Source organism: Homo sapiens, chromosome 17, assembly GCF_000001405.40.
Source record: "Homo sapiens chromosome 17, GRCh38.p14 Primary Assembly".
Taxonomy (NCBI): Eukaryota; Metazoa; Chordata; class Mammalia; order Primates; family Hominidae; genus Homo; species Homo sapiens.
The window spans coordinates 3,954,644-3,967,109 of NC_000017.11; the positions used below are offsets into that span (position 1 = coordinate 3,954,644).

Here is a 12,466-nt window from a genome sequence, read left to right on the forward strand (position 1 = left end):
GCGGCACCACGCCCGGCTGATTTTTGTATTTTTAGTAGAAATGGGGTTTCACTATGTTGGCCAGGGTGGTCTCGAACTCCTGACCTTGTGATCTGCCCGCCTCGGCCTCCCAAAGTGCTGGGATTACAGGCGTGAGCCACCGCCCAGGCCTAGGTGCTGATTTTTATCTCCAACATTTCCCGAAGCACCTTTTGTATCAGGCAGAGGTGCCTCGGGCCCCTGAAGTGGTTGAATCATTCCTACAGCCTAAAGGGCAGGCAGGTGGCAGGGAGTTCCTGCCCTGCTTCACAGACCCGGGCACGGAGGATCAGGGTGGCGGTGTGGCTTGGGCAAGGCCACACAGTGAGTGAGTGGGTCTGTGTGGGGATGAGAGGGGCGGGAGCCAGGCTCTGCAGGGTGGGCTTGGAGAAGCTCCCCCTTCCCAGGCCGCAGTCTAACTGAGCCCTGCCTCCTCTTGTCTCTTGCCACTCAAAGGACAGTCTCCGGACATCTGTGGCATCTCCCCGAAGCTCGTTAGCCATGCGGAATCTGAGGCCCCGGCCATGGCTGGCTCTCTTCCACCTCCTTCTTCCTGACACTGGAAACAGGTCCTTGCATTGGTCCACCTGTTTTTGGCCTACAGGCATTTTTTTTTCCTACGGGAGCCCTCTCCCCGGACCACCTGTTTGGAAGCTTTGGGGTCTGCACCTGGCAGCTGAACCCTGGGGAGTATCAAGCAGCCCACTGGACTGTAGGAATCCAGGAGGGAAATATATAGCCTAAAAATACACTTTCTAGCATTTTCTCCAAAGTCCTATTTTCGGCAGTGGCTGACATTTTCCGTGGAAAATGTAATCTCCAGTGTCCTGCGTCGAGATTAAAATCAAACAGACTTTTTCCTTCTGATCTATTTAGCTGAGGCGAACAGGAAAGGCGGGGGGAGGGCCAGGACTGGTTTCTGGGCCAATTCTCCAATGGAGCAGTGTGCTTTCGAGGTCACCCCAGCCATGCCCCAGCCTCGAATCAGGACAGCACTAACCTCATGGTGCGCATGGGTGGGCTTGTGCTGGGCTCTTCCCGGGGGATGCCTGTAACCCTCACCTTTCTTTATTCTGGGCAGGGGCGAGGCCTGGGGTTGGGAAGCGTGTCATGGGGTACACGTGCCAGCTCCAGTCCTGGACTTCCCCACAAAGGTCCCCATGATGCCTCCTGCCTGCCCCGGCTGGTCTCTCAAGTTCTCCTTTCTCTTATTTTATTTTATTTTATTTTTTTTTTTTGAGATGGAGTCTTGCTCTCTCGCCCAGGCTGGAGCGCAGTGGCGGGATCTTGGCTTACTGCAACCTCCGCCTCCCAGGTTCAAGCGATTCTCCTGCCTCAGCCTCCCGGGTAGCTGGAATTACCGGTGCCTGCCACCACGCCCAGCTAATTTTTGTATTTTCAGTAGAGGCGGGGTTTCACCATGTTGGCCAGGCTGGTCTCGAACTCCTGACCTCAGGTGATCCACCCACTTCGGCCTCCCAAAGTGCTGGGATTAGAAGTGTGAGCCACCGCGCCCGGCTCAGTTCACCTTTCTCTACCTGTCTACCTGGATCATCTCCCCTTCTGCTCTCTGACCCACCCTGACCCAGGATCCAGTCTTTGGTGCTCATTATGTTGTTCCCCAAATATTTCTGGTTCTCCCCCACCTTGTGGGCACATAGTAGGAGGGCACTTCCCGGCCCCCGTGTGAGTTTTGAGAAGAAGGATGTGTATTCGTGCCAGGTTGGAGCATTGACTTTTGGTGGGGGACTTTCTAGGAGGTCACTGTCCAGTAGAATGTTCTGTGAGAGCAGAAGTATCCTCCGTCTGTGCTGGCCAGGACCGCAGCCACTAGCCACATGCAGCTGGCGAGCCCCTGGACTGTGACTAATTTCGAATTTTACTTTAATTTTCATGCATTTAAATGTAAATAGCCAAGCGGCTGGAGCTCTTTGACACTCTCTCCTACAGCAGCCAGCAGCCTGTGAGATGGTGTCTGCTCCATCGACCTGGGTCACAGAATGAGGAAGGCACAGAGCACCCGGGGACCAGCCTGCTGCCAGCACTCAGCAGGAGTGAGAAATGAGCCTCTGGTCCTTTAAGGTGCCAAGAGAGATTTGGAGGCGATTGCTGCAGTATCCAAGCTGAACCTGACTGATACCCCCTCCGCTGTGACCTGGCTTCCTCCGCAAAGCTCCCCTCTCACCCCGCCCACCTGGGGAGGCCTGACCTGCCGCTGAGCACAGCTCTGGTCCTGCCCACACAGCCAGCTCCTTGTGGGGCCTTGAGCCTCATTTGGGAGGTGGGGTACCCACACCCACTTTGAAGGCCTGCTGTGGTGATCATCATCATCATTACTGTTAAGAGTCACATTTACCAAGCACCTGCCAAGCAATGTACCAGGTGCCTTACCGCATTATCACCAGAGAACAAATGGGAAGACGCTGGGGACCGAGCACGTGAGGTGCTTAGCGGAGGTCATAGCAGCAGCAGCTGGTGGTGTGCGCCAGACACCCTGCTAACTCCTTGCGTGCCTTATTCTCATGATCCGCAAACAAGCTGGGAAGGAGGATGCCATTGTTATGCCCATTTTACAGAGTACACAACAGAGAGGTTGAGTGACTAGTTCACCGTCACACAGCGGGGGAGACAGGGAAGGGTTTTGAGCTCAGGCAGTCTGGTTCTCGACCCCCTGCTGTGGGCCTCCGATGCTAACTCTTAGGCTGTCCTGCCTTCCCTCCTCCACTCTCTTTACCGCTCACCCAAGCTCATCTGAAAACCCTTGGTGTCCCATGTCCTGACCGTTGGGCTGGATGTCCCCATCCCTTCAGTCGGCGTGCCCCTCTGTAGAGAGCCCACAGCCCAAATCCTCCTGTCCAAAAGGCCCTGCTGGCCTCACTGATGGTGCTTTAGGGGTTTACGAGGCTCTGCCTGCTCAGGCCTGATCTGCTTCTAAATGCAACCCTGAAGGACCCAATTCTCCCCTCGCATGAATGAGCCCCAGGGTGATGGAGGGAGCCCAGGGCTGGGAGATCCCCTACCCCAGGCATTCCTGGAAGATGCTGCCTCCTTCCTTGCTCTCTCCCAGGCTGCGTGTTGGAGGCTGAGATAGTTCCCCTTGAAATGGCGGCCTTGGGCCTCTGGCAGTGCCAGATGTCCTATCTGTTAAATGAGAGAGTGCCCTGGCTCTGCCCACTCTCAGTGCCATCCGCTGGGCTGCAGGGGGCAGAGACAGGACCAGGAGGTGCCGCTCTCTCTGAGAGCCACAGTGGGGCTGGCCACTATTCTAATCTGAGCCTCCGCCACGGTGACCCCTGCCTGGCTCATGTTGCCAGACTGAGAGGGCCTGTGTTCACGGAGGCCCAGCGTGCAGGCCTGGGAGTCAGCCTGCAGTCCTGGGAAAAGAGGGAGGTGATCAGAGAAGCTTCGTGGCTTAGAGCAAGGAATCTGGTCCAGAGGGCTCAAGTTCAAATCCTGCTCTATCTCACGGTACTTCTGTGGCCACAGGCCAGTTACCTAATCCCCTGTGTCTGTTTCTCCATCTGCAAAAAGAGGGTGATAAATGTAAGTACCTCACAGGGATGCCGGAAGATTGAACGGCATGCATAAAGCACTTGGAATGCGTAGCACACAGTGAACACGCTCCAGCCAGAATCACTTGCTAGAATATAAGCTCTAGGGCAGCAGGACTTCGTTAAGCGCAGCGTCTCCAGCACCCAGAGCAGCTCCTGGAGCATAGCAGGTGCTCAGTAAACATATGTGATGGATGACTGACCCTGCCTCTGTCCTGTTCACAGAGCTTCAGTGGCTGTCCTTGGCCTACAGAATAAAGACCAACTTTAGCACGGGCTTCAGGGCCTTCCTGGATCTGTCCCCACCTGCCCTTCTAGGATCATGTCTGTATCCCGAATGCACATCTGTCCCTCTGTTAGCCAAGCCTCAGGATTGCCACCCCTGCTTTTTAGTGTATTTGTAATTGACAAATCATAATTGTACACAATTATGGGGTCCAGCGTGATGTGTTGATAATCCCGTTTTGCAAAACCTTCTCCTCCTCATTCATATATATATATATATACACATATATATACACATATATATAGACACACATATATATACACACACATATATATACACACACATATATATACACATATATATACACACATATATATATACACACATATATATACACACACACATATATAAATATATATATATATATATATACACACACACACACACACATATATATATATTGTTTTTTTTCAGATGGAGTCTCATTCTGTTGCCCAGGCTGGAGTGCGGTGGTGCAATCTTGGTTCACTGCAACCTCTGCCTCCTGGGTTCAAGCGATTCTCCTGCCTCAGCCTCCCAAATAGCTGGGATTACAGGCGCCTGCCACCATGCCTGGCTAATTTTTTATTTTTATTTTTTAGTAAAGATGAGGTTTCACCATGTTGGCCAGGCTGGTTTCGAACTCCTGATCTCAAGTGATCCACCCACCTCGGCCTCCCAAGGTGCTGAGATGCCAAGGTGCTAGCCACCGCGCCCGGCCTTCCTCCTCCAACATTTTGCTTGTGCCATTCCTTCTGTGCACAGCAGCATCCTATCTCCTCATATAAACCCCCTTTCCAGGAAGCCTTCTCTGAAAGCCCCTCCCCTACCTCATCGCTGTGCCCTTCTCTGACCAGTTGTCAGTATTAGGGTCCCCCCACCACACTGGAACACTTCCAGGGTGGGGCGGGGCTGAGTCATCCCTGTGTTTATGCTGAGTCCTTACAGTCATTGTTTACTCAGTTGCTCCGTGGTGCAGGCCAGGGCCCTGAGCCCACAGTCCAGAGCCAGGGAGAAGGGGGGTAAGCGATGCCCCTGGGCTGCCCCCAGGCTCCACACCACCTGCTCCCCTCATCCCCCCTCTACTCCTTCCTTCATTGGAAACTGGTATTTCAGCTTCTAAATGTCAGTTCCAGCCGGGAGAGGCAAGCACTCACCCAGGTCTTCCTCAAAGGTAAATTTACAGAGCAATTAAATCGTCACTTGCAGAGTCAGGAAGAGGCCCTGGCTGGGCAAGACCCGCCCAGCCCACCTGGCCCTGCCTGTGTCTCCGGGGTCCACCTAGAGTGGACACCTGACCTTGCTCTGCGGGAGCCACTGCGGGGCCTTGGAAGTAGCTCTCCGCTCTGCAGCGGGGCCTGCAGCACCCCTGGCTTATCCGGAGCTGGAGATGAAGGGTTTGCTCAACATCTCTTCGTCCGACTGTGCTATGGGAAAATACAGGCCCTGCCTTAGGGTGTAAGAGGGTGAGGGGGCCCAGCTGGGCAGGCCTGATGCTGCTCCTGGGGGGCTTCAGCTGCCCAGCAGGGGCCAGTGGGAGTGAAAACTAGGGTGAAGCATGAAAGACGTTGAGCTTCCAAAGGGCTGTGGGCAAACCACACCCTCTCAGATCCCGCAAGGCCCTTAGGGGATCCCAGGGTCCCATCCCTGCTATCCTGAGGAGCAGCAGGTCCAGGGAGGGCCAAGTCTGCCCAATGCCACCCAGCAAGCAGGGCCACTCAGATGGCCCCCTCTTCCTGACACACTCCGTTCCTCTTGGCCTGGTTTCCGTGGGCTACGCATATGGGTTGCCCGAGTTTCAGCACCAGCTATGGCCTGGAACTTATTTGAGGGCAGCAAATAAGGCCAGAGCCAAGACGCCGCTGGCAGGAGTCTAAATCTGGACCACTCATCCCACCTGGCAGCCCTGGGGCCAAGGCGCTCACTGCACATGGGCCGCGTGTGGCCCGGGAAGGCAGGCTTCTGCCCGGCCTGCCAGCTCCCTTGAACAGAGACCACCCCAGAAGACCTCCTGGGATCTGCCCGACTCTCAGGTCACTGGGGTCTCCAGGGACTTTAGCTACAGAAAGGACATGCCCAACACAGCCAGGTCTCTTGCCTTGGCTCCAGTCCAGCAGAGGAGATGGGCAGCCCATTTGGTGGCTCCTTAACATATGAAAAGACACCCAATGTGACTTTAAACAGAAAGATGCCAAGCAAACCTACGAGAGGACTCTTCCACCTGACTGGCACAGATCAGACCGTCTGATCCCACCCTGTGCTGGCGAGGCAGCAGAGAACCAGCCGTTCAGTCGGCACAACTGCACAGAGAAGTTTAGTGACAGCTGACGACACTGAAAATATACACCCACTTAGACCCCACAGTTCCACCCCCAGGAATGCGTCCTTCAGTGATATTCACAAGCGCGTGACATGATGTGGCAACAAGGATACTCTGCAATACTGCGTGTCATAGCAGAGGCTGCCAACAACACAAGCGTCCACCAGAAGTCAGAGAAAAGCCGCACGCCGAAATGCCATGCAGCCACTAGGAAGCCCCACCGTGCTCCTCCTGGCACCGGCTCCAAGAATGACTGTCAAGGTCAAAGCAGGGACAAAGAGCACTTATCCTCCTCCTGCTTCCGTGTGGGAAAAGATCACAAGATCACAGCTCCAGATGTGTATATGCACGGACTGTCTTGGGAAGAAGACACAAGATATTGGGAGGACTGGGAATGGGTGGCTGGGGACGGGGCGGAGAATTTACTGTATACCTTTTGAACCCCTTGAATGTTGCACTGTGCACATTTTTATTCAAAAATAAAAAAGATGTACAAGTAAAAGCCCCCCAAGGAAGCTGAACTCTGGGTACCTCTGGCACCTGCAAAGGTGGGCTCACAGGAGGTGCTGGGGCCAGGAGCCTCCCCACTCACTCCCTGTTGGGGGTTACGGCAGATGGGGTTTTATGTGTGAGTGGAGGGGGTCCCTGGCTAGCGTGCTCACTGACTGCGCTGCCGAGGCTCCCCAGCTCTGAAGTGTCTGTGTGCAGTGAGGGAGGAGGGTGGGAAGGTGGGGGTGGGATGCCCAGCCGCTGCCTCCCTCCCCTGGCAGAATTTGCAAGCTTCAGGACTTAAGCAAATGACTTCCTTGTGGTTTCCAACAATAACGACCTTGCAGGTGCACAGACTCCTGGGGTGGGGAGAACACATGTCTCTGGGGTGTCCCTTCTGCCCTCAGGCCTGACCCACCCTGCCACCCAGCTTGTGGCCAGGAGCCCGCCCCAGCCTCTTCTGCGACAAGGAAGGATGACTTGGTGTCTGTGACCTCACTAAAGACTCACAAACAACCCTGGGAGATGGGTTCTATGGCAGCCTCGCTTATGGTGAAGAAACCGAGGCACAGAGAGGCAAAGAGGCTGGTCCAGCATTGCACAGCTATGAAGGGGCAGGGCTAGGGTTCAAAGCCTCATCAGCTCCACCCCAGCAGCTGTGCTAGGGACATCTGCACCTCCTCCTCAAGCCATGGCAAGCCTGAGGCAGGAAGGAACAGCTGGCTCCCCTCTGCTCACCTAAAGACTTCTAGAGCCCTGGAATGCCCCCAGCCCCAATCAGTGATCTGAGAGAAGAGCCCTCTAGGGACCCAAGAAGGCTGGAGGCAAAGCTGAAAAAGCTGCTGCCGGCTGACCCAAACTCCTAGCACAGACGCCCACACCAGGGTTCTGCATCCTGCAGAACTTGTGACTGTCTTGTACAGATGGGGAAACTGAGGCCCAGAGAGGAGCAGGTAACCAGTGCCAGCTCCACCACCTACTATGTGACCTCGGGCAAGTGGTTTAACCTCTGGGTGCCTCCGTTTCCTGCTGTATAAAATGGGGATGACAACAGTCCTTCCCTTATGGAGTTGTTTTGGGGAAGAAATGAGATAATAGATGAAAAATGCTGAGACTAGAACCTGGCACATAGTAAGTGCTCAGTGAACATCAGCTTTTATTATTAATACTATCAATGCCCAGAGGATCCAGGGGAGCCCAGCAATATCCCTCCCCAACTTTTCCCATCACACCCCAACACACATCCACCCTCTGTGGACCTACACACCACGCCAAGCCCACAGCCTTCCCCATCAGTTCACACAGGTGTGCGCTGGCCAGGGCACCCCAAGGATCTCATCTAACCAAATAACAGGTGGGGAAGGCTGGGGCTCCCTCCCTCCCAGTCAGTTCCTCCTCCGCTGGACCAATGAAGACATGATATCAGAATGAAGACAGACCTGGCTAGGGTCGTACAGAAGCAGTATTTGTGTGATTCCAGGGACAGGCCAAGGGCTGCGTCTCCAGTTTCCCTCAGGAATCAGGATTCCCAAGCTGGAGGCTATAGCAGCACAAAAGAGGCAGTGGGACCGCAGACCTGCCTGCGCCGGCCCTCGCCCCCAGCCCACCCCAGGGTCAGAGGCAGCCCATGCTGCCCAGCTCTCCTGCAGCAAAGCACAACCTCCCTGCCAAGTCACTAATGGGGGATATTAAATAATATTTATCTCCCCAGTTCCTCCCACAGCTCAACTAAATATAGCAACTAATTTTTTTGAAAAAGGATTTCTGCTCCAGAAAGATAATATTTATATAAGAGGTGGTTTTCATAAACCAATACAAAACCCAAAAGTCCTTTTCTGACACTTCTTCCTAATTTTCAAGCTAGCCCTGAGTAGTAGGATCCCAGGGCTAGAATACCTTCCCCTCTGGCTGGCTGGGAACCCCAAAAGGGCAAGGCTCCAAGTCCCCAAAGGATGCAGACCCAGGCTGCCCTCTGTAGATGGTGAGGGTATTTCTCCTGGGATCCCTCACACTCTGCCCGATGCTGCGGGCATGAGCAAGGGGGTGGCAGGTCCTGCCTGGAAGGGATGTGGGGAGGGCACCTCTGTATTTTCCACCCTCATGGGACCTCCAAGGTGCCAGGCCACATCTGGACAGTACCCGGTGGCACTCAATGTGCCTTTTGGCAAGAGCAAGAATCCCACACTCCTTTGAAGGAGGTGAGGATGAAATGATAGTGAAGCCTCCCTCCCTCCCCAGAGATGGGAAAGGCCTCCCTGGCAGTTCCCTGAGGCCTTGACTCCGCCACCCCAGGAAGGTGGGTCTCCCGCCTCAGCAGTTCAAAGCCCCCACCGACTCCGCCAGCCACATCCGCTTCGGGTTGCAGAAAGAGGAAGACCTGGGGTGGGGGTGGGGGCCCCAAGGCTGCTAGCTGATAAGCGGCACCTTCCTGGGCGTTTTCTGGAGCCCTCAGGGGAGACCCTGGGGCCAGCTGGGAGGCCGAGCCTGAGTCTCCGGCCGTCCCTCGCCCGCCGGTGTCTGCGCTGCACCTGCAGGATGCCAGCGGGAGCGGCGCGGCGTTGGGGTGGAATACGGTCCAGGATGGGGTGGAATAACGCTTCCAGGGTGGACGGGGCCGGAGTGGAGGTGGGAAGTCCGGGAGGACCGCGCAGAGGGTGCCAGGCGTCCGGTCTCCCCAGCTGGAACCCGCTCCCAGCCCCCAGCCCCCAGCCCCGGCGCCGGCGAAGGTGGCCGCGCAGCCCCGCCGGGTGCCCCAGGAGCATCCGAAGAGGTTTCCGGAGCCCTCGCTTCCTGCCCGCCCAGAGCCGGGTGGGGAGGCAGGAGGGGAAACTGAGACTGCGGCGCGCGCGGCCCCCGCTCCCCGGCCCGGCCCGGCCCGCGCGCTCACCGTTGGGGCCGTAGCGCTCCCGCGCGCCGGTCACCTGCGCCGGGCTCAGGCCGCCCTCGGCTGTCACCGAGAAGTGGCGCAGCACGTCGGCGGCCGGGAGCAGATGCGCCGCCTCCATGCCGCCCGCCCGGCCGTCTGCGCCGTCCGCACCGTCGAGGCCGCCTCTCCGCCGGGGGGCTACAAAGCGGGGCGCGGGGGACTCGGGCCCGGGCGGGCGCCGCGCGAGGCCATGTCCGTGCTGGGACCTTACCCGACGGCAGTGGCGGCGGCGGCCCCGGCCCGCGCCAGGATGCTGCGCCCGGGACTCCCTCCCCGGGGCGGGGCGGCGCGGGGCCCGCCCCCCATCACACCCCTTCCGGCCGCCCTCCGCGCCCCGGGGCGCACCGCCTGGGTCCCCCGCCCATTCTGCAGAGGGGAAACTGAGACCGCCCGCGGGGCGCGTGCTGGGCCTGTCGGGAGCCGGGGGCGCGTGGCCCGGGGGTCCTCGGTCCCGGTCCGCGGAGCTGCTAGGGGTGGGATCTGGCCGAGAGCTGGGGCGGTCTGCGGAGCACCCGGCTCTGGGCTGCGCGTCGCCTCCTCTGGGCTCTCCTGGGCCCGGGGCGTCCTGCTTCCCAGCTCGAATTCTGCGAAGTGACTCCAGAGGGAACCCGAAAGCCTCTGAATAAGCGGGTCTTCTCTAGAGGAAAGTGCTGGATGTTCTCCTTATTTGGTGTTTCTGCTTTCTTTATTCTTTTCCAATGCCCACCGGCGAGGGGTTATTCCTCACATAACCAGAACCTTTAACAAAGAGCCGGTGCATAAGAAAGTTCAGAAAACCAGGCTCGTTACCCTAGACTCACACCGTCACCCCAGCAGGAAATGTAACCAGGGAGCAAAGGTGGGGCTCCCCAGAGGGGCCCGAGAGGGTGGGGTGGGGGGGTCTCTGCCCAGGGCTCCCAGGGGACTGACCCTGGCCCAGGGAGGGGAGAGATGGATGAGCCTCCGCCTCAGCGCTCCCGAGCTCCACCCGCCCCAGGAGGGCCAGGAGAAGTGGCAGCGGGTCAGAGGAGGAAGTCGCAGGAAGGCAGAAACCACTCGCCCCGCCAAAAGGAGGAGCTAAGAGAACAGCCTGATTGCCGCTCCCTCCAGCTTGAGAGACCCAGACAGCCTCACCCCAGCCCTTATCTGCCTCCCACCACGAGCTGGGCTCTGCCTTCTAGAGCCTCAGTCTCTGCCATCCACCAAGGCTGCACAGGGTCAGAGATGCCAGGATTGAGCCCGCACAGCTGGCTGTTCAAACCCCAAACCCCTTCTGTGCCTCTGCAGCCAGGAAGCTTTCCCAGATAGCTGCAGCTGCGCCCTGCCCCAACAACACAGCCCCTCACCCGCTCCTGAGAGCCTCAACTTCCAGCCTGGTCTGGAGCTGCTGACCCCTATCCAGATCATGCACACCCCCAGATTCTGTGCTCTTCCTCCTGGGACAGGACTGGGCCCCTCCTCCTCTCCGCCTCTCGGTGCCTCCCTGAGCAAAGACACTCCCTGAGGACTGGCTGGACCGAAAGGTGCTTTGGGGCTTTTGATGGGTGATCCAGATGGATTCCCTGATATCAGCTGCGTCTCAGCCTGGTGCTGTGGAGCTAGAGGAATGCTGGTTTTCTGGTTGTGGCTCCTCCGGCCTGGTATTTTATTTATTGATTTTATTATTATTATTATTATTATTATTATTTTCCTTTTTTTTTTTTTTAATTTCTTTGAGTCGTAGTGTCACTCTGTCGCCCAGGCGGAGTGCAGTGGCGAGGCGACATCTCAACTCACTGCAACCTCCACCTCTCAGGTCCAAGAGATTCTCCTGCCTTAGCATCCCGAGTAGCTGGGATTACAGGCGCCCGCCACCACATCCAGCTATTTTTTGTATTTTTTTTTTTTTTTTGTAGAGACAGGGTTTCGCCATGTTGGCCAGGCTGGTCTTGAACTCCTGACCTCAGGTGATCCACCCACCTCAGCCTCCCAAAGTGCTGGTATTACAGGCATGAGCCACCGTGCCCAGCCCCATTATTATTTTTTTGAGACAGGATCTGGCTCTGTCATCTAGGCTGGAGTGCAGTGGCATGATCGCGGCTCACTGCAACCTCTGCCTCCCGGGCTCAGGCGATCCTCCCACCTCAGCCTCCCAAGTAGCTGGGATTATAGGCGTGAGCCACCACGCCCAGGTTTTTTTTTTTTTTTTTTTTTTTTTTTTTTTTTTTTTTTTTTTGTAGAGACAGGGTTTCCCAATGTTGCTCAGGCTGGTCTGAAACTCCTGGACTCAAGCGATCGACCCACTTCGGCCTCCCAAAATGTTGGGATTACAGGTATAAGCCACTGCATCCCGCTCAGCCTGACATTTTATATCTCAAGTCTGATATCCCCAGATATTTCCACCCTATTCCTTTCTCCCCCACTGCTATAGTCCACAAAATCCCAACTGTATCCCTAAGTTGCCAGGAAAAATGTTAGCCAGGACTTGACTGGGGACAGAGCCTCACAGCTCCCCGCTAGAGCCCTATTTCCCAGAGATCGGGAGCCCTAGGCGTTCAAGCCGCTGGGAAACCCCTGCTCCACCCTACACACACATCTTGAGGTCTGACTTCTTCTCTGCTGGCCCTAGGGACCTTAACCCCAGCCTCTCCCGCTCCACCGCACCCTCAGCTGTGAGTTGGTATTTGCTAGAAGGTAGGGCCAGAAGGCCTGACTGTTTGCTCTGGCAGCCAGGCCTATGTTCCATTTCTCCAGCCCACCCCACCCTACCTTCAAACCGCCATGGCAGGACAAACAGTTGCCAGCAACCGGGGCCCTCACCTGGCAGGCTCACACACCTGTCAGCATGCCCGCCTGCTCGGCTGCCCCTGTCACAACTTCTGGGTGCCCCCCCAGCTCCCACAGAATCACATGCAGTCATTTCACACTCCAGCTGCCTG

General features: G+C 56.7%; 1 protein-coding gene across 18 annotated transcripts in view, besides 5 other annotated features; it reads right to left on the reverse strand.

Annotated features, from left to right (window-relative positions):
- Nucleotides 1-9,794, reverse strand: part of ATP2A3 (ATPase sarcoplasmic/endoplasmic reticulum Ca2+ transporting 3) — a 40,565-nt gene extending 30,771 nt beyond the window's left edge. For all 18 annotated transcript variants that reach the window (XM_047436153.1, NM_174957.3, NM_005173.4 and 15 more), the window contains exon 1: nucleotides 9,531-9,794. In XM_047436153.1, the coding sequence (XP_047292109.1) occupies nucleotides 9,531-9,648 (118 nt within the window). In that variant the 5' untranslated portion in view covers nucleotides 9,649-9,794. The remainder of the gene's footprint in view (nucleotides 1-9,530) is intronic.
- Nucleotides 2,676-3,580: an enhancer, noted in NCBI's record as "H3K4me1 hESC enhancer chr17:3860613-3861517 (GRCh37/hg19 assembly coordinates)". NCBI's record gives its function as "activates a minimal SCP1, AML or CMV promoter by ChIP-STARR-seq in naive H9 embryonic stem cells {active_cell/tissue: H9 hESC(naive)}" and the evidence as "EXISTENCE:reporter gene assay evidence [ECO:0000049][PMID:30033119]".
- Nucleotides 9,007-9,096: a silencer, noted in NCBI's record as "silent region_8026". NCBI's record gives its function as "represses an Ori minimal core promoter by ATAC-STARR-seq in GM12878 lymphoblastoid cells {active_cell/tissue: GM12878}" and the evidence as "EXISTENCE:reporter gene assay evidence [ECO:0000049][PMID:35858748]".
- Nucleotides 9,347-10,126: a silencer, noted in NCBI's record as "silent region_8027". NCBI's record gives its function as "represses an Ori minimal core promoter by ATAC-STARR-seq in GM12878 lymphoblastoid cells {active_cell/tissue: GM12878}" and the evidence as "EXISTENCE:reporter gene assay evidence [ECO:0000049][PMID:35858748]".
- Nucleotides 10,317-10,476: a silencer, noted in NCBI's record as "silent region_8028". NCBI's record gives its function as "represses an Ori minimal core promoter by ATAC-STARR-seq in GM12878 lymphoblastoid cells {active_cell/tissue: GM12878}" and the evidence as "EXISTENCE:reporter gene assay evidence [ECO:0000049][PMID:35858748]".
- Nucleotides 12,073-12,192: a silencer, noted in NCBI's record as "silent region_8029". NCBI's record gives its function as "represses an Ori minimal core promoter by ATAC-STARR-seq in GM12878 lymphoblastoid cells {active_cell/tissue: GM12878}" and the evidence as "EXISTENCE:reporter gene assay evidence [ECO:0000049][PMID:35858748]".